At 36.4% G+C, this 27,260-nt stretch overlaps 1 protein-coding gene across 23 annotated transcripts in view; it reads right to left on the reverse strand.

The window, feature by feature from the left end:
• CEP112 (centrosomal protein 112) overlaps positions 1 to 27,260 on the reverse strand; it is a 556,597-nt gene that overhangs the window by 182,720 nt on the left and 346,617 nt on the right. For 2 of the 23 annotated variants that reach the window (NR_126542.2, NM_001037325.3), the window contains exon 1: positions 7,882 to 8,195. The exons of the other annotated variants lie outside the window; for them this stretch is intronic. Coding sequence is in view for 1 of the 2 variants with exons in the window: in NM_001037325.3 (NP_001032402.1) it covers positions 7,882 to 8,043 (162 nt within the window). In the remaining variant the exon portion in view is untranslated. Of the gene's footprint in view, positions 1 to 7,881; positions 8,196 to 27,260 lie in introns of those variants that run through there. 23 annotated transcript variants of the gene reach the window in all.

Consider the following 27,260-nt stretch of genomic DNA (forward strand, 5'->3'; position numbering starts at 1 on the left):
GGTAGGCAGCCCTTTACCTAACTACCATGAAAAGAGTTTTTAAAAACTTTTTGTTAAAATAACAAAGCCCTCGTTGCAGAACACCAAAAGCCACATATTTTAAGATATCAAAATCTTCAATATTTTTAGCTCTTTAGAAATAGAAAACTAGCAAAAGATAGCACCATCAGCAAATAATATCTCAGCCCCTTCCTTACTACTCCCCCACCATCCTTCCTCAGGATTCAGTTCCAGTGAATGATCATCAGAAGCAAAACCTGAAGCAAAAATCTTTCAAAAATTACAACAAATAAGGTACATTCTTGGCAAGTCTCAATTTTGTGATAACTTTCTCCTCAAGTTTATTATTATAAAACTATCTTGTAATAAGGTTATTTGGGGACCCCCTTAGATGGTCTGAGACTAAATGATTTCTACTTCAGAAAAAAATACTCTATAACAGGGTTTTGGTTATTTAACACAGCAGCATTCAAATAGCAGGAATTCAATTTTTGTTCAAGTAAATACTATCTGCTCATTAATTTGTTTAATCACAAAATGATTTCACAAAACAATACAGTTTGTGACTTCTTAAAGAACTTCTGGTGTTCAGATTGACTTTTAATACATTATGTCTCACACTAATAGTCACTCTATTTTTAGAAAAGTTAAAATCAAAATAATACCTATTACACCTCCATTCTAAGGGAAAAAAATATGTTTCATGAGGATGTTGCTGAAGATGTTAATTAACCATATTACACTTGTCCTCTTGGTGAGAATCTCTTGTAATTTTTTCTCTAAAGATTTCAATCCACTAATTTTTGAAATAATGACTTTTAAAAGTTTATTGCACTGAATCTTGTTTTAATTGTGATGCTTTTTATAAATTGACATTTGCTACTGAAAAATGTGGAGTCAAATATAGGTCCTTCAGCAGAATTTATCCAACGCTTAGAGTGTGTTGTGTTTTCATGAACACTACCACTAGCCTCACCTTATTTTTTCTTTTATTTTCTGTTAGCTGTGATTCCTTACTTTAAAAGAATCTTGCATTTTAAAAGCAACCTTGAGCTTCCAATATTTTCTCTCCTAATGATATGAAACAATAAAAATAAAAACCAAAAACCCCACACCCTCAGCATAACTTAAAGCTAGAAAAATGACAAAGTAACTGTGAGTAAAAGAACAGGTAATTATTTCAGGTAAGATTCACCAATGGTTCAGACAAAATTAGTGAACAAAAGTCTAAGAATATGTGCATAGTCTCAAACTATGTCTCCCAAGATATTTTACCTCTTAGAAATGAAAAATGATTAATTTTACAGCACAGAAACCTGGCAGATACCATCTTTAAAAAGTGATCAATGTTTGCATCACCAATAACAAGATATTTTGATACCATGCATCCTTTGATATAATGCATCTGAGAAAGGCACAATATCACTTCTGCATTATTCTTGCCAGAAATGCATAACCTCAATCTAATCATAAACAAAGTGAGAAAATTCTACAAAATAACCAGCAGCTAGCACACTTCAAAAGCGTCAAAGTCATGAAAGATCAGGAAAGACAGGGGAGGTGTCATAGATTGAAGGAGAATAAAGAGATATAACAACTAAATGCACTGTGAGATCCTGCATTGGGTCCTAGAACAACAAGAAGGACTTTAATGGAAAAGCTAGTGAAATTAAAATAAGATTTGTAGTTATTTAATAGATTGTGCCACTGTTAATTTCCTGGTTTTGGCAATTGTACTATAGATAAATAAGATGTTAACATTAGGGGAAGCTGGGTGAAGGACATATGGCAATTCCCTGTACTATTTTTGTAACATTTCAGTAAGTGTAAATAAAAGTTTAAAAACAAAAATGTTAAAAAGGCATCTTCAATCTTTTTAAAATAAGTGGGATTTTCATAAACAATTACCGTCTGACATTCTTCCGATTTTTCCTAAGCTCATAGCTTCCTCGTGTTATCCCCTTTGACTGCCTCAGAAAATTCTTCATATCTAGTGCCAATTCAAATATTGTCTCTCTTCCATAAAAGATCCCGCTTCCTACAGACCTCAGATCTCCCAGCATTGTACCCTAAAGTAGAAGTTTACCATGCATGACTAGATAGTTTTCTAGTTCTTTTTTTACCTGTATTTCTCATTGTCACTGCAATAAGAAAAGCTCCCAGAATGCAGTGACAAAGTTACATGTCTTTTCATGATTTTCCCCAGCACTGACCTAAATATACAGTAAATGCTTGTTAAATACATGTTGACTCATTCACTCATAAATTATTTAAGGAAACTAGAGATTTGTAAGTTCACATCATCCATTTTACAGCCTCTCTGTGAAATCAGACATCAAATACAGGACTGAATGGGCCATTCGCTATAATCTAAGTATGGCAATTCTGATAATTTCTTATTCTCAGGAAGTCTCTAAAATGTAAAATGTATGATACTTCCTTCAACTTCATAAGGTAGTTGGGGTTGAATAAACACCAGAATCCATAGAAATAACAGGCCTAAATTTATAGAAATATAGGCCTAAATTATAAATCTTTAAAAGGTCATTGAAAACTGTTAGAATTCCGCATTCAATATTAATATGAAATGTACAATAACATAAGCAATTGTCACAAATAAGATTCAAAGATACTGATGTTTGATGAGATATTTTCCATGACCCGGGGTTGCTTCCTTAGAGTATTCCTAGGATGTCTACTGATCTGTTAAAGTCATGCAATGGGAACAAATGTCCATTTTCTTTGCCAAGAAAATACCATAGATGAATATTAAAAACAGTTATGTAAGCCAAAACTCACATCTGCACACACTTAAAATGTAGCCCTTTTTTAAAATAATAATTTGTAATACATTCTGAAAAAAAAAAACAAAAAATGTTGTACAATGCTCTACACCTGGCTGGGTAACCAGTGTTTTTAGCCATAAGTGCAGTGATACAGGCTATGTAATTACTGAAATTGATTAGTGTACTCTAAATTGTGGAAATATGTATGTGTTTGTATATTAGTAACTGTTTTTGGCATCTATTTCAGGCTTGTTTATATTATACTATGTGTATATATATACATATATGTAGAACACAAAGTTCAAAATATACTCTACTGATGTAACCAACCAATTAAAGGAAATAAAATCTGTTTAAGGGGAATATAATGCATGGAACTTAACGGGATTTTCTACACAATCTGGGGCTTCCAATACTTAAAAAATTATCAAATTATTAAACTTATATATATAATTATATATATATATATAATTATATATATATATATATATATATATATTTTTTTTTTTTTTTTTTTTTTTTTTTCTGAGACGGAGTCTTGCTCTGTCGCCCAGGCTGGAGCACAGTGGTGCGATCTCGGCTTACCACAACCTCTGCTTCCCAGGTTCAAGCAATTCTCCTCCCTCAGCCTCCTGAGTAGCTGGGATTACAGGCATGTGCCACCACACCCGGCTAATTTTTGCATTTTTAGTAGAGATGAGGTTTCGCCATGTTGGCCAGGCTGTTCTCGAACTCCTGACTTCAGGTGATCCACCCACTTCAGCCTCCCAAAGTGCTGGGATTACAGGCATGAGCCACCGTGCCTGGCCTAATATTGTTTCTTTAAAAAAACGTTTAAAATGTCACTAATTCACTAAGAAGGTATCACAAACAATGCTCTAAAAAGCTTTTTTAAAACCAATTTAAAAAATATGTGTGGGGAAAAATATATTTTGGTCTGATATTGAAAAAGAAATGATTTGCAAAATTTTTAAAATATTTAAGTAGTCAAAATTCCCAATTCAATGGAATATTTAGCATACATGCATATATAATATTATTTTAAAATATTTCTATATCATTTTATTTTTAAAAGAATGATTACTACAGGGAGTAATGTAGTATACTACATCCTACTACAGTAGGATGAAGAATAATTTGTATCTTAAAAATAGGTATTTAAAAACATAGATCACTTTTCCTATCCATGTTGGTTTATATTGTTGTTATAAAAAAAAAATCAGATGTATGGCGTAGGACACAACAAAGTACAGTCTTCCTTAGGTACCCACAGGGGATTGGTTCCAGGACTCCGGTGATACCAAAATCCAAAGATACTCAGCACCTTTAAACAAAATGGCAGAGTATTTGCATATAACTATCAACATTCTCTCGTATACTGTAAAACATCTCTAGAGTATTTGAAATACCTAACACAATGTAAATGCTATGTAAGTGGTTGTTATACTGTATTGTTTTTACATTTGTATTACTTTTTATTGTTATATTGTTATTTTTATATTTTTAAAAACATTTTTGATCCACGGTTGGTTGAACCCATGAGTACAGAACCTACAGACACAGAAGACAGATTATAAACTGAAAAATTACAAATGCTCATGTATTTTCCCTGGTACATTTGATTCTTCATAGGTTAGATTTGTTTTGAGGAGTCATTTTCCAAAATTCACCAGTTTATTAATAACATATACCACTGTGAAAAATAAAATATGTTGACATATGTGGCATAATTAAAATTAATCCTTCATAGGGAAAACTATTAAGAAACAGGTATTCAGCTAATTATATATGTAGAAAAATTCCAAGGAATCTACCAAAAATAGTGACTAGAATTAATAAATGAGTTTAGAAAGGTCACACTGTATAATATCAACATTAAAACATCTATTATATTTATATATTAGCAAAGAACAATTGGGAATTGAAGATAAAATCATGATTCAATATCATCTAACAAAATATGTGCAACCTCTAGATGCTGAAAACTATAAATGCTGATGAAAGAAATTAAAGAAAACCTAAATAAATGGTAAGATCTTCCATGGTCATGGATCAGAAAACTCAATTTCATTAAGATTTCAACCTTAATGTAGATTAAACACAAATTTAAAAATATCTCGGTAGGATTTTGTGTAGAATTCATTATGCTGATTCTAAGAAAAACAAAGAAACCATCATAGGCAAAATGATCTTGAAAAAGATCAGTGTTGGACAACTTATACTACCTATCTCTAAGACTGACTATAAAAGCTACAGTAATCAAGATAGTGTGGCATTGTAAAAGGATAGACATATAGATTAATAGAAGAAAAACAGAAAGTCCACTAGTAGGCCACATATATGTGGTCAAATGATTTTCAACAAAGCTGCAAAGGCAATTCAATGGAGAAAGGATAGTCTTTTCAACAAACAATACAGAAACAATTGAATCTTAATCCATATATTGCACCATCCACAAAAATCTACTCAAAATGGACCACAGACCAAAAAGTAAAACCTGAAACTGTAAAATTCTAGAAGAAAACAGGAGAAAAGCTTTGTGACCTTAAGTCAGGCAAAGATTTTTTATACACAACACCAAAAACATCATCTATAAAAGAGTAAACTGGTAAGTCAGAATTCATAAAAATTAAGAATCTCTGCTCTTTGATTTGGGAGAAAGTGTTTGCAAATCACATATCTTATAAACAACTTGAGTCCAGAATACATAAATAACTCTCAAAATTTAATAATTAGAAAATAGCAGTAAAAAATCAGAAAAAGATTTCAATAGATACTTCACCAAAAAAGATATTCAGATGACAAAATATACACAGGAAAAGGTGCTCAACATTATTAGTCATTAGGGAAATGCATGAATGGTGAGAAATGTGTATTTGGATGACTAAAATAACATTATTAACTCCACAATATGAAGGGTGCAACCTAACTGGAACTCTCATACACTGCTGGTGGGAGTGCAAAATTATGTAGCTACTTTGGGAGACAGTTTGGCAGTTTCTAATAAAATTTAAAAATATACTTAACATAAAGCTCAACAATCTCATTTCTTTCTATTTACTCAAGTTAAATTAAAGTGCATATTCACACAAAATCTTTATGTGAATGCTTACCAACCCAGATATTTCCCAGCTGGAGAATGGATAAGTTTTGTACTCCCATACAATGGAATACTACTAAGCAATAAAAAGGAACAGATTACAGTGACACACAACAACATGAGTGAATCTCTAATGCATTATGCAAAGGGAAAGAAGCCAGACTCAAAAAGCTAACTACTGAATATTTACATGACATTCCAGAAAAGGAGAACCTATGGTCACAGAAAATACATGAGTGATTACTAGGAGCTGGGACATGAGAAAAGAAGTGGAGCTGATGACAAAGGTCTGGAGAAATGTTTGAGGTGATGGAACTGTTCTTCATCTTGATGTGGTGATGGTTTGTCAAAACTTGCAGAACTGCACATAACCTATATAAGTTATAGTTGTTTTAAAAAGAGGAATAAATGAAGAGTTAGAGGAATACAAGAAAGAGCTTGACTGCTTCTGAGTTGGTGTGGAAAGGAGGAAGGCAGGGACATCTTTGAGGAAGAAAGATGAGTTACCAAGTCTTCCAGGCAGAGGGGAAAATGTGTGTGAAGCCACAAACGGAGATTGTTTACAGCCTATTTATGGAAAACAGAGTTGTCTGGGAGTGGGTACAGCACAGACTGTTATCTGTGGTGGGAGAGACAGTTAAGAAAGGTAGAAGACATCAATTCACACCCATTACAATGGTTATTATAAACAGTGTTGGCAATCATGTGGAGAAACTGGAACCCTTGTGCACTGCCGATGGGAATGTAAAATGATGCAGATGCTATGGAAAATATATGGCAGTTCCCTGAAAAATTAAAAACAGAATTATATCGACCAATTCCTACTTCTGAGTATATACCCCAAAGAACTGAAAGCAGAAACTAGAACAGATATTTACACATCCATGTTCACAAAAACATTATTCATAATGTGACAAAAGGTGGAAGCAATCCAACTGTCTGTCCATTGGCAGATGAATGGATGAACAAAATGTGGTATACACATGCAATGGAATATTATTCATTTTGAACAAAACAGGAAATTCTGACACATGCTACAATGTGGATGAACTTGAAGACATTATGGTAAGTGAAATAAGTCAGTCATAAAAGAACTACTACTATATAATTCCATTCATATCAGGTACCCTAGAGCAATGGTCCTCAGCCTTTTTGGTGCAGGTTTCATGGAAGACAACATTTCCACAGGATGAGGGTAGAAGGATGGTTTTGGGATGAAACAGTTCCACCTCAGATCATCAGGAAGTAGCTCACCTGCCACTCACCTCCTGCTGTGCAGCCTGGTTCCTAACAGGCCACAGACAGGTACGGGTCTGCAGCCCAGGGGCTGGGGACCCCTGCCCTAGAGCATCAAATACATACAGGAAGTAAATGATGCTTGCCAGGGGCTAGAGGGAGAGAAAATGGGAGTTACTGTTCAGTGGGCACAGGTTTAGTTTTACAAAATAAAAAAAAATTCTCGAGACGGATCGTGGTGATGGTTGCACAACAATTTAAATGTACTTAACACCACTGAACTGTACAGTAAAAAAATAGTTATCATAACTTAAAATTAATTAATTAAAATAAATACATAAGAAAGAAAAACAATGAAAGGTACAGAGGGGAAATGAAATTATGCAAATCTTTGGCCAGACAACTAGGAAGCTGTGGCAACTTCACTTTTTCTTGGGCTACAGCACTTTGTAAGCTTTTGAGCAAGGGAGAAAATGCCATTAGCTCACAATCTACCTCTTCCAGAAAGTTCTGCCAGATTCTGCCTGTTGCCCCCAGATGTCAGACACCTCCCTGCATTTCCCAGGGCATGCAGTCCAGCATATCTAGATGATGGCCCTTATTTCTGTTCAATGTGATTGCAGTTTGTTCCATCATCCCTGCCCTATCAAAATTCATCTCCTTGAGATGAATTACCAATGCCTAACTCAGCTCAGCAATGAGATTTATTTTTTCAGCAAGATCCCTATGTCAGGAGGACAGAGGTTGTCTTGTTCTTACCTTCTTCTCTTTGAGGTTAGATTTTCCTGTATCCCTCAGAGGCTTCAAACTTCCTGCCTGCTCTGTCTTGGGGACATTACCATTCTCTTCTCTCATCTCTATCAGTCTCAGGGCTTGGTTTTCCTTGGCAGATGGATGGTCTAAACTCAGAGAAGCCCACATCTTCGTTGACCCCCATTAAGATCTCAGAAGCAGTGATGAGAGCCCTCAGTGCAGGCTGTAGGGCAGGCAGAACTTCTAACAAGAAGCCAGTGAGAGCACAGCCTCCCTCCCCTGATAGAAAGGTGACTTGGGCCCAGAGGGTTAGAGTGTCTGAGATTCCCCACCACAATCTCTTAGGTGGGGGTGAGGTGAGATAGTGACATCACAACCACACTGCCTGGCTCAGTTCCTGATGTCAGCTAATGTGATGCCAGGGCTAAAGGGCCAGCACACCTTCTTTGTGATTCTGGTCTCCCAGGGGCAGAAAATAGGAAGCAGGCTAAAGATGCCCTAGGACTTAGGGACAAGGCAACAGTATGACGAAAGGTTGACTTCTGTGCATCACTGTTCAGCTTACAAAGTGCATAATAGAGAACATTTCGAAATACAGAAAAATACAATTCAAAATTCACATATCCCATCTCACAGAGAAATGAACTAGCATATTTTTTCCATGTTTTCCTGTGTGTAACTATGATGATTAATACTGAGTGTCAACTTGACTGGAATGAAGGATGCAAAGTATTGTCCCTGGGTGTGTCTGTGAGGGTGTTGGCAAAGGAGATTAACATTTGAGTCAGTGGACTGGGAGAGGCAGACCAACCCTCAATCTGGGTGGGCACCATCTAATCAGCTGCCTGCATGGACAGAATAAAGCAGGCAGAAGAAGGTGGAAAGAGCAGACCTGCTGAGTCTTCTGGCCTTCATCTTTCTGCCATGCTGGATGCTTCCTGCCCTTGAACATCAGACTCCAAGTTCTTCAGCTTTTAGAGTCTTGGACTTAAACCACTGGCTTGCCAGGGGCTCTCAGGTCTTCAGCCACAGACTGAAGGCTGCACTGTTGGCTTCCCTACTTTTGAGGTTTTAGGACTTGGACTGGCTTCCCTGCTCCTCAGCTTGCCACAGGCCCATTGTGGGACTTCACCTTGTGAGTCAATACTCCTTAATAAACTCCCCTTCATATATACATCTATCCTATTAGTTCTGTCCCTCTAGAGAACCCTGACTAACACACGAAGCTTATCTATGGCTTACTTTCTGGCTCTCATGACCCCTATCAAATCCATCAGAAAATCATATTTACTCTTACTTAAAGTATATTTTAAAAATATATCCAGAATATGATCACCTCCCCAGCTACCACTCTGGTCTAAGCCACCATCATTTCCTCTCATCTGGATTACCAAAGTTGCCTTCTCATTGGTTTCCCACCTTTGTTCTCATGCAGCTAGAATGATCTTTTAAAGCCTAAGTCAGATCATGTCCCTTCATGGCATAATACCCTCTTACTCTCTCATTACTCAGAGTTAAAGTCAAAGTCATTGGAACAGCCTCAAAGGCCCTACATGACCAGGCCTTGGAATGCCTCTAATGTCTTTTCCAACTCCCCCATGTCCACTATGTTCTCGTCACACTGGCTTCCTTAAGTCCTCTAGCAATGCCAGCCATGCTCTTGCATTAGGGTCTCTGCACTAGCTCTTCCTTCTATCAGCAATTTCTTCCTCCGAATATCAACATGCCTCACTCGACTCCTTCAAATTTGTTTGAATGTTACCTTCTTGATGAAGCCAGCTTTGGCCACACTATATAAATGGTACCAGCCCTGGTACTCGAGAGTCTCCCTGAATCTTCTCTATCATTTCCTTTTCAATAGCACTTTGACACTTAAAAAAATTCTATATAAGTTACTTATGCAGCATGTTCATGGCTAACAATGTATCTCTCCTACTAGAATGAGCTCTGAGGGGACAGGAATATATGCCATTTTGCTCACTGCTATATCCTAAGTGCCTAGGGCCATTGTACAAAAATTAAGCACAAAATGCTGAAAGCAATGGGTGTGTGCCATTAGTCTGTTAACTGTTCCCCAGTACCTGTTCTTCATTTCTTTTCAAAATAGTCTCCCTGCAACTTTTAGCACAGTGCATGCAAATAGGTCCCTGCTTCCCCAGGTGTGCCCCTGGGACTGTTTTCTCCAGTAAAATGTCAGAATGATATGCACAACTTCCATGGCAATTCCCTAAAAGGAAATATTTGTCTTCCTCATCTTTTTCCTCTCTTCCTGCTGGTTAAGAAATGGTGTCCATCAGAAGAGCAGCCTTTAAAGCAGAGATGGAGACAGTATGTTGAGGATGACTGAGGAATCTCACTAGTCAGCCTAGGTTCCTAAGTGACCTCATGAAAGAGAACCATTTGATCCTAGCCCTGGGCCATCCTAATACATCTGGATTCTTACGCAAAACAGAAATAAACTTTCTTATTTCATTTCTCCACTGCATTATGGGGTTCCCTCTTACAGCAACTTAGGCTTACTCTAACTAGTATATAAAGAATCACAAATAATTTTTCTTTTTTGATTTATCAGTATAGTAATTTATATTATTAATAATAGTGCTCCTAATATCAAACCATCTTTGCACTCCTGGAATAAAATCCATGTGATTATGATGTACAATATTTTAAATATGCTACTAGATTCTCCTGCTTAATATTTAGTTTTTTACAATATTCAAAAGTGAGATTAATATGTTTTTAGAGAGTTTTTTTTTTTCAGTTTTGACACTGATATTATGCTAACTAAGGAATAGATTACTAGGTCAAAAGATAGGGATATTTTTAAGGTTCACAGTATAGATAACCACAGGCTTTCAGGAAGGTTGTACCAATTTATATTCTCAACAATAGCATTTTAGAGTGTTTATGCACTGCACCCTAGGCATCTTGGTATTATTAATTTAAAATTACGCTTGGTAATATTTAAACTAATTTACTTTTTCAATATATTAAAAAATAGTATGTCTTAATTAGCATTTTCTTTATTACTTATGAGAATGAAGAGGTTTATTTAAGCCAACTGCAGTTTTAGTGGTCATGTACTTTCTATTTATTTTTTTACCATGTCTCATAATGTATTCAATTTAGTTAAATTACTCAACCACTTTCAATTTTTAATTTATTTAATCTGCACAAAGCTGGATCAGGCAAACCAGGCCCATAGAGAATTTTTTTTTCCATTATGAATATGAGTTAGAACCAGACCTGACTCTCAACACAGAACCCTTCCACTATACTAGACCCATAATGTATCTATGCAGCTTTATGCCCATCAGCTCATTCTATTGTCCTCCCCTCAAAGAAGGTCTAAACATAGGAGGCGGGAGTGTGAAATAAGAGGCTCTGTCCCTTTATCCCAACATCCCTGAGTCTCTTAATAAAGAGAAAATAAGTTTGGTTCTAAGTGCATAAAATGCTATTCGAAATGTTGATGTGGTGTGGAATAAACATCAGAAAGGCTGCTTGGAATATTAAAATAATTACAGTCTAGCTATCTATAAGCTAAATTTGGTATTACTGTCAAAAAAGCACTCATTTAAAATATATATAGTGACTACAATGATATTCAATAATTAAAGTACAGAAAACAAAAAAAGAAAAGGTACATCGTTTACATAAAAAGTACTCAACTTAGCATGAAAGCTGGGACATATTTAACAGTGAAAGGGATAGCAGGAAATGCTAAGTCACACAAGATACTGGGACAACAGGTAAAAGTGAGAATGTTTTGGTCAAATTAAAATGTATAGACACCCTATTAATGGTAAGATATCAAAGTAGTACCATAAGTAATTATTTCTGTTCTTATTTGTAATCATTTCATCACTGATAAAGATCCCAGTAAAATATATTTTTTCATTTTATTAACTTTAGTGTTATAAAAAACAGATGCACTGTCCAATTAGGCTATTACAAACTTAGCCATGAAGTTGAAAGGATCAAAAGATTTATACAGGCAAAGACTGGGAGTGGCATCAGCAAGATGGTGGAATAGATTGTCTGGCATCACTCCTGCCAAAAAATATAACTAAAAACTATCCAAAGACAAGAATACCATCCTGAGTTCACCAGAACTTGGAGGAAAGCAGAGAAACTCCCTGGGCCCCCAGAATCAAGAGAAGCCATGACTGGTAAGAGAAATATTCATGTTGGACTATGCTGCCCTCTCCCACAAGCCATCATAATGTCCCTCACACAAAATTTCTCTAGATTCAGTTTCCAAGGTAAGAGGTTGTAGACATTAGATCTCCTCCACAGTCTGGGAATCTTCACAGGAAGACCATTCTGGTCTTGTCCCACAGGAACTAATGGGAATGCCAGGAATACTGAACCAAACTGGGGTGAACTGGGGACAAACAGCCGGCACTGATTACTTGAACTAGTGCATGGATCTTGGCAGCTACTCTGTACTTCAATCAGTGAGGAAGCCATATTAAAGAGACTGCTTGCTGCTCTATTGCAGCAGTGGGGCAGAATCTGTGGGAAGGCTCGAATTCCTGGCTAGATTTTTCCACAAACCCCAACTGCTCTATGGAGCCTTGACCTGACCCAGAAACAACTAAAAGGTTAAGATTAAGTTCTGGTGCCTGCTTAAGTCTTCCTTACACTAGGAAACAATGGCAGGTCAGCAAGGTAGTTCAAAGGTAATGTTTAACTTCCAATTCTCACTATAAGTCTTCCCCAGACCAGAAAACAGTGGCAGGCAGTGATTTTGTTTCAGAGAAGCATTTAAGTTCTGGAGTCAACTATAAATCTTCCCCAGACCAGAAAAAATTGGCAGGGCAATGAGTTTGTTCCACTGCAATGTTTTAGTTCTAATGCTCACTATAAGTCTTCCCCAGAATGGGAAGTAACAACAGGCCAGCATTTAACTTCTGATGCTAAGTAGTAAAGGTCTGATACCACCAAAGAATACGTGCATAAAATAGAGAAAGTGGATGTCTCCTCAAATGTGCAGCCACCAACATAAAGATGCAAGGATTGTGAAAACTCAGGGGAATATGACACCACTGAAAGAAACTACCAATAGACTCAGAAGAGCTGACAAACTGTGAAATATCAGAGAATTCAGAATAATACTTTCAAAGAATTTCAGAAAATCAGGCCAGGCGCAGTGGCTCATGCCTGTAATCCCAGCACTTTGGGAGGCCGAGGCGGGTGGATCACGAGGTCAGGACATCAAGACCATCCTGGCTAACACAGTGAAACCCCGTCTCTACTAAAAATACAAAAAATTAGCTGGGCGTGGTGGTGGGCACCTGTAGTCCCAGCTACTCAGGAGGCTGAGGCAGGAGAATGGTCAGAACCCAGGAGGCGGAGCTTGCAGTGAGCCAAGATCGCGCCACTGCACTCCAGCCTGGGCGACAGAGTGAGACTCCTTCTCAAAAAAAAAAAAAAAGAACAAATTTCAGAAAATCACAAGCAAACATGGATAGAAAACTAAAAGAAATTTGGAAAACAATCCAGGAACAAAGTGAGAAATTTGACAAGGAAATTGAAATAAATAAAAAACCAAATAGAAATCTTAGAAAAGATAATACAATAATAGAACTGAAAAACTCTTTTGAAAGTTTCAACAGCAGACTTGACAAAACATAGGAAAGAATTAGTGAGCCTAAAGACAGAACATATAAAATTACTCACAGAAGGAAAAAGGAAAAAGAAAATGAGTGAAGAAAGCTTACAAGATTTATAGGGAAAACAACAGAATATACATTCATCTCATTGCCACATAGAACATACTCTAAAATTGACCACATAATTGGACAAAAAACAATCTTCAGCAAAGGCAAAAGAACCGAAATCATACCAAACACACTGTTGTACCACAGTGTAATAAAAATAGAAGGCAAGACTAAGAATATCATTCAAAATCATGTAATTACATGGAAATTAAACAACATGCTCCTGAATGACTTTTGGGTAAATAATGAAATTAAGGCAGAAATCAGGAAGTTCTTTAAAACTAATGAAAACAAAGATACAACATACCAGAATCTCTGGGACATAGCTAAGGCAGTGTTAAGGGGGAAATTATACAGAGCACTAAATATCCACATCAAAAAGTTGGAAAAATCTCAAATTAACAACCTAACATCACAACTGAAAGACTTAGAGAAGCAAGAACAAATCAACCTCAAAGCTAGCAGAAGAGAAGAAATAACCAAAACGAGAGCTGAAATGAAGGAAACTGAGACACAAAAAGCCATTCAAAAGATCAGTGAATCCAGGAGTTTGTTTTTTGGAAAAAAAAAAAAAACTAAAAAGACAGATAGGCCACTAGCTAAACTAATAAAGAAGAAAGAGAGAAGATCCAAATAAACACAATTAGAAATGACTATGGGAATGTTACCACTGACCCCACAGAAATAAAAATAACCATCAGAAACTCCTATGAACACCCCTATGCATACAAACTAGAACACCTAGAAGAGATGGATTAATTCCTGGACACATACATCCTGCCAAGGCTGAACAAGGAAGAAATTTATTTCATGAACAGACCAATAACAAACTCCAAAACTGAATCAGTAATAAATAGCCTAACAAACAAAAAAACTCCAGGGCCTGATGGATTGACAGCCAAATTCTACCAGATGTACACAGAAGAGCTGCTACCATTCCTACTGAAACTATTTCAAAAAATTGAGGAGGAGGGACTCCTCCCCAACGCATTCTATGAGGCCAGCACCATCCTGACACCAAAACCTGGAACAGACAAAACAACAAAAAAAGAAAACTTTAGGCCAATATACTTGATGAACATTGTTGCAAAAATCCTCAACAAAATACTGGCAAACTGAATCCAGCAGCACATCAAAAAGCTAATCCACCACGATCAAGTAGACGTCATCCCCAGAATGCAAGGTTGGTTCAACCTACACAAATCAATGAATGCAATTCATCACATAAACAGAACTAAAGACAAAAACCACATGATTATCTCAGTAGATGCAAAAAAAGGCTTTCAATAAAATTCAACACCCCTTCATGTTAAAAACTCTCGATAAACCAGGCATTAAAGGACCATACCTCAAAATAATAAGAGCCATCTATAACAAACCCACCACCAATATTATGCTGAATGGGTAAAAGCCAGAAGCATTTCCCTTGAAAAACAAAACAAGACAAGAATTCCCTCTCACCACTCCTATTCACCACTGTATTGGAAGTCCTAGCCAGAGCAATCAGGCAAGAGACAGAAATAAAGGACATCCGAATAAGAAAAGAGGAAGTCAAACTTTCTCTGTTTGCAGACATGATTCTATATCTAGAAAACCCCACAGTTTTGGCCCCAAAGCTCCTTCAGCTGATAAAAAACTTCAGCAAAATTTTAGGATGTAAAATCAATGTACTAAAATCACTAGTATTCCTGTACACCAACAACAGCCAAGCCAAGAGCCCAATCAGAAAGCAATCCATTCACAATGCCACAAAAAGAATAAAATACATAATATACCTAGGAATACAGCTAACCACGGAGGTAAAAAGTCTCTACAATGAAAATTACAAAAGAGTGCTTGAAGAAATGAGAGAAGACACAAACAAATGGAAAAACATCCCATGCTCATGGATTGGAAGAACCAATATCATTAAAATGGCCAAAGCAATTTATAAATTCAATGCTATACCTACCAAACTGCCAATGATATTTTTCACACAATTAGAAAAAACTATTTCAATATTCATATGAAACCAAAACAGAGCCTGAATACCCCAAGCAATCCAAAGTAAAGAGAACAAAGCTGGAAGAATCACCTTACTCAACTTCAAACTATACTACAGGGCTATATTAACCAAAACAGCCTGGTACTGGTACAAAAACAGACACATAGACCAATGAAACAGTATAGAAAGCCCAGAAATAAGGCTACACATTTATAACCACCTGATCTTTGACAAAGATGACAAAAATAAGCAACAGGGAAAAGACTCCCTATTCAATGAATGGTGTTGGAATAACTGGCTAGCCGTATGCATAAGACTGAAGCTGAATCCCTTCCTTAAAATAAAAAGAAAAATCAACTCAAGAATAATTAAAGACTTAAATGTAAAACCTATAACTATAAAAACCCTGGAAGACAATCTAAGCATTACCATCCTGGACATAGGAACAGGCAATGATTTCATGACAAAGACACCAAAAGCAATCACAACAAAAACAAAAGTTGACAAGTGGGCTATAATGAAACTTAAGAGCTTCTGCACAGCAAAAGAAACTATCAACAGAGTAAACACACAACCTACAGAATGGGAAAAAATATTCGCAAACTATGCATGTAACAAAGGTCTAATATCCAGCATCTATAAGGAACATAAATAAATTTACAAGAGAAAAACTACCCCATTAAAAAGTTGGAAAGGACATGGACAGACACTTCTTAAAAGAAGACACACATGTGGCAACAAGCATATGAAAAAAAGCTCAATATTGCTGATCATTAGAGAAATATAAATTAAAACAACAATGAGATACCATCTCACACCAGTCAGAATGGCTATTAGTAAAAAGTCAAAAAATAACAGATGCTGGCAAGGGTGTGGAGAAAATGGAACACTTATACACTGTCTGTGGGAGTGTAAATTAGTTCAACCATTGTGGAAGGCAGTATGGCCATTCCTCAAAGAGTTGAAAACAGAACTACCATTCAACCCACAAATCCCATTACCAGGTGTATACCCAAAGGAATATAAATCATTCTACCCTAAAGACACATGTACATGAATATTCACTGCAGCACTATCCACAATAGCAAAGACATCAATCAGCTAAATGTTCACCAATGACAAACTGGATAAAGACAATGTGATACATATATACCATGGAATACTATGCAGCCATAAAAGAATGAGATCATGTCTTTTATGGGAACATGGATGGAGATGGAGGCTATTATCCTTAGAAAACTAACACAGGAACAGAAAACCAAAGACCACAGGTTCTCACTTGTAAGTAGTAGCTAAATGATGTTACCTATGCAACAAACCTTCACATGTACCCCCAAACCCAAAATAAAAGTAAAAAAAAAAAAAAAAAGACTTAATAGGACATCAGCAAGTGAATGAATCTCCACATAACAGAAATTCCCAAGACAGAAAAAGGCCCACAAAGCATATTTTTAAAAAATGACTGAAAATTTCTCAAATCCCAAGAAAAATTATACCATCCACGCACAGGAAGAAGTAATCAATCAAATTTAACCCAAAGGGGAAATCCCCAAGGCACACACTAATCAAATTAGCAAAAATGAAAGACAAAAAAAGAATACTCAAAGCAGCAAGAGAAAAGACACATATCATATTCACTGGAGCCCCAATACGGCTTTCAATGGATTTCTCAACAAAAACCCTGAAGGCCAGAAGAGAGTAGGATGCTATATTCCAAGTTTAGGGGTTGGGGGTGGAAAGGAGAGACTGACAACTAAGAATACATACCCAACTTCACTATTCTTCAAAAATGAAGGAAAGATAAAGATTTTCCCAGACAAATCAAAGCTGGGGTTATTCATCAACACCAGACCTGTCTTACACAAAATGCTAAAGGGAGTTTTTCAATCAGCAAGAAAGAAATGAATGCTAACATGTAACAAGAAAACATCTAAAGATATTAAACTGACTTGGAAAAACAAGAAAACAGACACATTCAGAATAGTCTAATACTGGAATGGAAGCACTTAAACCACTATGTGTTCAGCATGCAGACTAAAAGACAAACTATTTTAAAATAATAACTACAATAATTGGCTAAGAGGCAATATAAGAAGATTCAAATTGAAGCATCAAAGAGTCAAAAATGTGGTGAAGGGGATGCTGTTAAAGTGCAGTTTTTTTCTTATTTTTCTTTTGGTTGTGTTCAAAGTTAAGTCACTATCAGTTTAAAATAACCTCTTATAACTAAAAGATGTTTTTTGTAAGCCTCGTGGTGGCCACAAAGCAAAGTAAATACACTAAAAATAGCACAGAATCAATAGATACACTAAAAATAGCATAGAATCGAAACATACTACCAAAGAAAATCAGTTAACCGCAAAGGAAGACAGTAAAAAAGGAAGGAAGGATTTACAAAACAATCAGAACACAAGTAAGAAAATGGCAGCAGTAAACTCTTTCCTATCAATAATAACTTTGAATGCAAATGGGTTAAATTCTCCAATTAAAAGACACAGAATGGCTAAATGGATTTAAAAGAAAACAAGATTCAACTGTACGCTGTCTTCAAGAAACTCACTTCACCTATAAAGACACACACAGACTGAAAGTGAAGAGATAGAAAAGGATATCTCATGCAAATGGAAACCATAAAAGAGCAGGAATAGTTACACTTATATTAGTTTATGTTGACTTTAAGAACTGTAAAAAGAGAGACAAAGAATGTTATATAACAAATAAATACAGAAAGATAATATAATAATTGTAAATATACCTGCACCCAACACTATAGCACCCAAATATAAAAAAACAAAAATTAACAGACCAAAAGGGAGAGACTGACTGCAATGCAATAATAGTAGTAGATTTCAACATTCCACTTTCAGAATGGACACATAATCCAGACAGAAAATCAGCAAAGAAATATTCAAGGTAAACTGTCCTCTAGACCAAATAGACCTAACAAGACATTTGCTCTCCCTCTCCCTCTCCCCATCCCCTTCCCCCTCCCCCTCCCCCTCTGATGCCCAGCCGAGGCTGGACTGTACTGCCGCCATCTCGGCTCACTGCAACCTCCCTGCCTGATTCTCCTGCCTCAGCCTGCCCAGTGCCTGGGATTGCAGGTGCGCGCCGCCACGCCTGACTGGTTTTCGTATTTTTTTGGTGGAGACGGGGTTTCGCCGTGTTGGCCGGGCTGGTCTCCAGCTCCTAAATGCGAGTGATCTGCCAGCCTCGGCCTCCCAAGGTGCCGGGATTGCAGACGGAGTCTCGCTCACTCAGTGCTCAATGTTGCCCAGGCTGGAGTGCAGTGGCGTGATCTCGGCTCGCTACAACCTCCACATCCCAGCCGCCTGCCTTGGCCTCCCAAAGTGCCAAGATTGCAGCCTCTGCCCGGCCGCCACCCCGTCTAGGAAGTGAGGAGCGTCTCTGCCTGGCCGCCCATCGTCTGGGATGTGAGGAGCCCCTCTGCCCGGCCGCCCAGTCTGGAAAGTGAGGAGCGCCTCTTCCTGGCCGTCATCCCGTCTAGGAAGTGAGGAGCGTCTCTGCTGGGCCACCCATCGTCTGAGATGTGGGGAGCGCCTCTGCCCCGCCGCCCCATCTGAAATGTGAAGAGCACCTCTGCCCAGCCGCTACCCCGTCTGGGAACTGAGGAGTGTCTCTGCCCCGCTGCCACCCCGTCTGGGAGGTGAGGAGCGTCTCTGACCAGCCACCCTGTCCGAGAAGTGAGGAGCCCCTCTGCCCGGCTGCCGCCCCGTCTGGGAGGTGTACCCAACAGCTCATTGAGAACGGGCCATGATGACGATGGCAGTTTTGTCGAATAGAAAAGGGGGAAATGTGGGGAAAAGAAAGACAGATCAGATTGTTACTGTGTCTGTGTAGAAAGAAGTAGACATAGGAGACTCCATTTTGTTCTGTACTAAGAAAAATTATTCTGCCTTGGGATGCTGTTAATCTATAACCTTACCCCCAACCCCGTGCTCTCTGAAACATGTGCTGTGTCCACTAAGGGTTAAATGGATTAAGGGTGGTGCAAGATGTGCTTTGTTAAATAGATGCTTGAAGGCAGCATACTCGTTAAGAGTCATCACCACTCCCTAATCTCAAGTACCCAGGGACACAAACACTGCGGAAGGCGGCAGGGCCCTCTGCCTAGGAAAACCAGAGACCTTTGTTCACATGTTTATCTGCTGACCTTCCCTCCACTATTGTCCTATGACCCTGCCAAATCCCCCTCTCCAAGAAACACCCAAGAATGATCAATAAATACTAAAAAAATTAAAAAAAAATACAATGATACAATTAAAAAACACAAATAAAAAATGGATTAAAAAAAAGACATTTACAGAATTTTCCACCCAACTGCTGCAGACATTTACAGAACATTTCCTCAACAGCACATGGAAGAGTCTCCAGTATAGACTACATATTAGGTCACAAAACAAGTCTTAAGAAATTTTTAAAAATCAAAATCATATCGTCTTTTCTGATCACAATGGAATAAAACTAGCAATTAATAACAGAAGGAATGTTGGAAACTGTACAAATCCATGGATATTAAACAGCAGACCCCTCAATAAGAAATGGATCAATGAAGAAATTCAAAGAGAAATGTTAAAATTTCTTGAGACAAATGAAAATAAAAATACAACACATTAAAACCTATGAGATACAGGAAAATCAGTTCAAAGAGGGAATTTTATAACAATAAATGCCTACATCAGAAAAGCAGAAAGCCATCAAATAAACAATCTAACACTGCACTTCTAGGAAATATAAAAGGTAGAACAAACCAAACCCCAGATTTGTAGAATAAATGAAATTATAAAGATTGGAGCAAAAATAACTGAAATTGAAACCAAAAAAAGAAAAATCAGCAAAACAAAAAGTTGTTTTTAAAAAAGATAAGCAAAAACTGGCAAACCTTTAGCTAGACTAAATAAGAAAAAAAAGAGAAGAGACCCAAATAAATAAAACCAGAAATAAAAAGGGAGACACTAAAATTGATACCACAGAAATACAAAGTATCAGTAGAGTCTATTATAAACATCTACACGCCAACAAAATGGAAAGCCTATTAACAGAAGAAATGGATAAACTTCTGGGCACATGCAACATACCAAAATTCAACTATGAAGAAATAGAAAACCAGAACAGACCAGTAATACATAATGAGATTGAAGCAGTAATAAAATCTTTCATCAAAGAAAAACCCAGAACCTGAGGGCTTCACTGCTGAATTCCACCAAACATTTGAAGAACTAATATCAATTCTACTCAAAGTCAACAAAAAAATGAAGAGGAGAGAATACTTCCAAACTTACTCTACAAGACCAGCATTAACCTGATACTAAAACCCGACAAGGACACACACATACACACACACAAAGAAAACTAGAAGTTAATATCCTTCATGAACATAGATGTAAAAATCCTCAGGAACATACTAGCAAACTGAATTCAGCAACACATTAAAAAGATCATTCATCATGATCAAGTGGGATTTATCCTGGGGATGCAAGGATGATTCAACATAAATATATCAGTAAATGTGATACATCACATTAACGAAACCAAGAACAAAAACCATATGGTCACTTTAGTAGATGCTGAAAAATCATTCAATAAAATTCAACATCCCTTTATGATTAAAAAAAAAAAACCTCTCAATAAACCGTGTATAGTAGAAACACTTCACAAAACAGTAAAGGCCATATATGACAAACCCAGAGCTAACATCATAGTGAAAAGGGAAAAATTGAGAGCCTTTTCTCTAAAATCTGAAATTAAACAAGGATGCTCACTTTCACCATTTCTATTCAACACAGATAGTATTGGGAGTCCTAGTCAGAGCAATTAGGCAAGAGAAAAAAATAAGGGGCATCCAAATTAGAAAGGAAGAAGTCAAATTATCCTTATTCACAGACAACATGATCATATATTAAGAAAAACCTAAAGACTCCACCAAAATAATGTTAGAACCAGTAAACAAATTCAGTAAGGTTGCAGGACATAAAATCAACATGCAAAAATCTGTAGCAATTCTATACACCAACAGTGAACAATCATGAAAAAAAATCAAGAAAGCAATCCTATTTACAGCAGCGATAAAAAAAATCTAGGAATAAATTTAACCAAAAGTAGTAAAAGTTTCTACACTGAAAACTTAAAACACTGATCAAAGAAATTAAAGAGAACACAAAAATGGAAAGATACTCCATGCTCATGGATTGGAAGAATTAACAATGATAAAATGCCCACACTACCCATAACAATCTACGGGTTGATTGCAATCTGTATCAAAACACCAATGAGATTCTTCAGAGAAATATAAAAAACAATTCTAAAATTTGTATGGAACCACAGAAGACCCCAAATAGCCAAAGTGATCTTGTGCAAAAGTTATAAAGCTAGAGGAATTGCACCATCAGGCTTCAAAATATACTGCAAAGCTATCATAACCAAAACAGCATGGTACTGGCAGAGAAATATACACACTGACCAATGGAACAGAATAGAGAACCCACCACACCTTTACAGCTAACTCATTTTTGACAAAGGTGCCAAGAACATACCTTGGAGAAAGGACAGTCCCTTCAATAAACAGTACTGGCAAAACTGGATACCCATATTTAGAAGAATGAAACCAGGACCCTATCTCTCACCATATACAAAAATTGAATCAACATGGATTGAAGACTTAAATGTAAGACCTGAGAGTATGAAACTACTTGAAGAAGATATTGGTCTAGGCAAAGATTTTTTTTGGTAAGACTTCAAAAGCACAAGCAACCAAAGCAAAAGCAGAAAAATGGGATTATATCAAGATAAAAATCTTGAAAAATATTGAAGTAAATATACATTAGTATTGACTTTCTGCAAGCAAAGAAAACAATCAAGAGTAAAAAGAAATGAGAGAACATATTGGCAAACTATCCATCTGACAACAGATTAATAACCAGAATTTATAAGGAACTCAACAGCAAAAAAACAAATAATCCAATTTAAAAATTGGCAAATGATCTGAACAGACATTTTTCCAAAGAACACATACAAATTGCCAACAGGGCATGTGAAAAAAATGCTCCATATCACTAATCATCAGAGAAATGCAAACCAAAGCAATAATGAGAGGATATCTCATCCACTTAAAACTGCTATTATCAAAAAGACAAAAAACAAATGCTTATGAGGATGCAGAGAAAGGTGAACACTAATACATTGTTAGTGAGAATGCAAATTAGTATAGTCACTATAGAAAACAGTATAAAGGTTCCTCAAAAAACTAAAAATAATCTAGCATATAACCCAGCAATTCCACTGCTGAATATATATCCAAAAGAAAGGAAATTAGTATACCAAAGAGAGATCTGCACTCCCATGTTTATTGGAGCATTATTCACCATAGCAAAGATATGGAAACAACATAAATGTACATCAGCAAAGGGGTGGAGAAAGAAAATGTGCGATATATACACAACAGAGTATGACTCAGCTATAAAAAGAATGAAATTCTGTCATTTTCAGCAACATGGATAGAATTAGATGTCATTATGTTAAGTGAATTAAGCCAGGCACAGAAAGACAAATATTGCATGTTTTCATTCATATGTGGGAGCTAAAAAAGTGGATCTCATGCAGGTGAGAGTAGAATGACAGTTACCAGAGGCTGGGAAGGGTAAAGAGGAGAAGACATAAAGAGAGGTTGGTTAATGAATACAAAAATACAGTTAAACGTAAGGAAGAAGTTCTAGTATTTGACAGCACAGTGGGGTGACTATAGTTAATAATTTATTGTATATTTCAAAATAGCTAGAAAAAAAGATTTGAAATCTCCTTAACAGAAAGAAAAGATAAATGTTTGAGGTGTTAGATATCCTAATTTTTCTGATTTGATCACAACACTTTGCAAGAATGTATAAAAATCTCACATACATCTGATAAATATGTACAATTCTTACATATCAACATAAATTTTTTAAAAGTTTGCATAATTATCAGCACTAATCATAAACAAACACACATACAACAAAAAACAAACCAAAAAAGTCCCCCCAGACCTAAACTGTGTGTGTGTGTACACACATACACACACACACACACACGAGACTTAGGGCACAAATATCTGCTTATTTTACTCACTTCCACTTCTCTCCATTTAAATATAAAACTTTGATGATAGCAAATAAGGTCTTCTACTTTCAATAACTTCCCAAGTCGAGTCACTGTCTTTTGCTGTATTGATCTAAGGCATTTTCATTTATTCTAAATAGAATTTTTTTCATCACAGGGCATCCAAAAAGACAAAATCAATAACCTCTGAGGAATACAGAACTCCAATTTTTAATGGTTCTATTAGAATACTAAAAATTAGGCTACAGAAGGACAAAGGAGGATTAATCTTGTAATTTTTAAATGCCTACTTTAAAACTAAACTAATTCATTTATAATTCTAGGTTTTATTTTCAAATAACCTTAACATAAAATATACTCTCTTTTAATTTTCTCCAAGTAAAACATAGTTTTCTAGCTTCAGACAACTAGACTTTGAAGTTAAGCTATTGACTTGCTCTCCTGGATTGCCAGAAAATAAAGTGCTCTTTAATGTGCAGCAGAAGGCAGAGGGAGAAAGAGGAAAAGATTATTCGGGAAACTGTGAAAGCCATTGAGAAGGGAGCAGTCTATTTCCATCTACATCCATGACTCCACACTGACATTGAGCTTTGTAGTCCCTCTCAGGTAAGGATGATAGACCTTTGAACATGTAAATACTCAAGCATTAATGATGATAGGTACCCCTGCTTATTTTGTTAATAAACAGATGCTCCAGATATTATTCTAATACTTGTTTAGTGGACTCACTGTGATACGAGTGCCTCACATACAAACCAGATAAAGTAGGAGAGCTGGGGCTCATGTAAAAAAGGGTCTAAGGAACATCAATTTCTTCTTGTTACATAGGAGATACATAAATACATTTAAAATATTTGATTTGGTTTGATTTGTGTATTTTGTCAAAGTAACAACAAAAGTCTTAGTTTTTCTTTTTAATTATGCCAATAATTATTTTTTAAGGTTTTTTTTGGCTTTTTAATTTTTTATTTCTTTAAATACTTATCCTACAATAGTACTCCAAACCTCAGCATCACACACTATACCCATGTAACAAACCTGCACATGTACCCCCGAATCTAAAAAGTTGAAATAAAAAAATTATCCTATAAAAAGTGTTAGTTTTTGTATAAGACAAGATTATAACCCCTGTCATAGTCAAGAAAGCTTTACAATTTAGGTCATTCAAAAGCACATTAATATAAACCTTCATATAAATGAACACCAATTCATCGCATTCAAATTATGTACACATCCTAAGTTTTCCAAGTTATTTGTGTATGTTTTTACCTGGTAAATTAAATTATTGTTATATTTACAGGTGCCATTATCTATTACACCAGGCTATAGCTTATATATCCAGAGGAAAATGACAACTTTAGGTTCACCAATATTTGTGGAACATAATAAAAAATATACGGGATATTGTTGGCCAATCAATTTTATAATTCTAACCTGAGGATAACATTTAATTTAAAGTTTAAGGATATAAAACTTCACGTTTTTTAGCAAAGGAAAAAGTCATGGAAAAGATAAAAGTAAAAAGAACAAAAGTGAGGTTGGAAATCCATCTTAAGCCAAAATGACAATGTCTTCATAAGTTAATATTAATCCTTTAATTATAAATTTTAAAGGTTTAAGTAGTTTCTATGACCTTAACTTTGAATAATTATGCCATATGGAGCTTTTCTTAAATTTGAAAAAGATGCTGAATTGTTGCTCAAAGCCTTTTCATGATTTCAGGCTGGCAGAATTCCAGTATAATCCTTCAGACACCACTTAAAATTACAGACCAGGAACCCAAGCTGGTAAATGCTATGTCAAAATGCTAAGAGCCTTTTACTGAGTAGAGCACATTGTAGAAAACGTTTGATGTGTTGGTATATTTATAAATATCAAAACATGAAGCTGAAAACAACTATTTATAGTGGAGAATTTACAAAGGAAAAGATGAACAGATTAGACGAAATTTAAATAAAATGTTTGTGTATCATAAAATTAAATCATAAAAGGCAAATGCCAAAGATATTTGCCACAAAGATAAGGGTTTTATCATTCTAAATATAAAAGGAGTTTATTAGATGAGCTGATGAGAAAAACATTAGGACCCTAAAGGAAGAAAAACTGGAAAAAGACATGAACAGGCAATTTCCCGAAAATGAAATATAAATAAATAACAGGTAAATCCATTGTAAATGTTCAATCTCTCACACTTAAATATACAAATTAAAACAACTGTTTTTCACAAACATGTACTACAAATTAGGTAAAACTACTAATAAATCTACAGACTAAGTAGATACTCTACTGAAGTAAATATACATTAGTATAAACTTTCTGAAATGCAATTTGACCTGTTAATTCTACTAGGATTTTAACCTAAAAAAATTGAAATTGAAAATGTCAACAAAAGTTTATGTATGATGATGCCAATCTCCACATTAAACAATTAAAATAAAATCTAAAAGTTTGGCTGGGTGCAGTGGCTCATGCCTATAATCACAGCACTTTAGGAGTCAAGGTGGGCGGATCACCTGAGGTCAGGAGTTCAAGACCAGCCTGGTCAACATGGTGAAACCTTGTCCCTACTAAAGATACAAAAATTAGCTGGATGTGGTGGCGCATGCCTGTAGTCCCAGCTACTCAGGAGTATGAGGCGGGAGAATCGCTTGAACCCGCAAGCCAGAGGTTGCAGTGAGCCGAGATCAGGCTCCATCCTGGGCTACAAAGGAAGACTCTATCTCAAAAAAAAAAAAACCTAAATGTTCTAAAATAAAGAAATAACACAATTAATTACATCTGGCTGGGCGTGGTGGCTCACGCCTGTAATCACAGCACTTTGGGAGGTCGAGGTGGGCGGATCACGAGGTCAGGAGATCAAGACCATCCTGGTCAACATGATGAAACCCCGTCTCTACTAAAATACAAAAAATTAGCCGGGCATGGTGGCGCCCATCTCTAGTCCCAGCTACTAGGGAGGCTGAGGAGGGGAATCGCTTGAACCTGGGAGGCAGAGGTTGCAGTGAGCCGAGATTGTGCCACTGCACTTCAGCCTGGCGACAGAACAAGACTCTGTCTCAAAAAAAAAAATTATGTTATATCAAAGGCCGGATGAGGTGGCTCACGCCTGTCCTCCCAGCACTTTGGGAGGCCAAGGCGAGTGGATCACTTGAGGTCAGGAGTTCAAGACCAGCCTGACCAACATGGAGAAACTGCGTCTGTACTAAAATATAAAATTAGCCAGGCATGGTGGCACAATGCCTGTAATCCCAGATACTTGGGAGGCTGAGGCAGGAGAATCACTTGAATCTGGGAGGTGGAGGTTGTGGTGAGTCGAGATTGTACCATTGCACTCCAGTCTGGGCAACAAGAGCAAAACTCCATCTCAAAAAAAACAAAACAAAACAAAATTTGTTATACCCATAAAACAGGATATCATGAAACAATGAAAACAATATTTTCAAAGAATTTCAAATGACATTGGAATATTCTTAGTATAATGCTTTAAAAAGCAAGAGATCAAATTAATTAGTTTGATCTTGGGCAGCTAAGTTAGTATGGCTATTTTACATATACATTAAATT

This window comes from Homo sapiens, chromosome 17, assembly GCF_000001405.40.
Source record: "Homo sapiens chromosome 17, GRCh38.p14 Primary Assembly".
Lineage (NCBI taxonomy): Eukaryota > Metazoa > Chordata > Mammalia > Primates > Hominidae > Homo > Homo sapiens.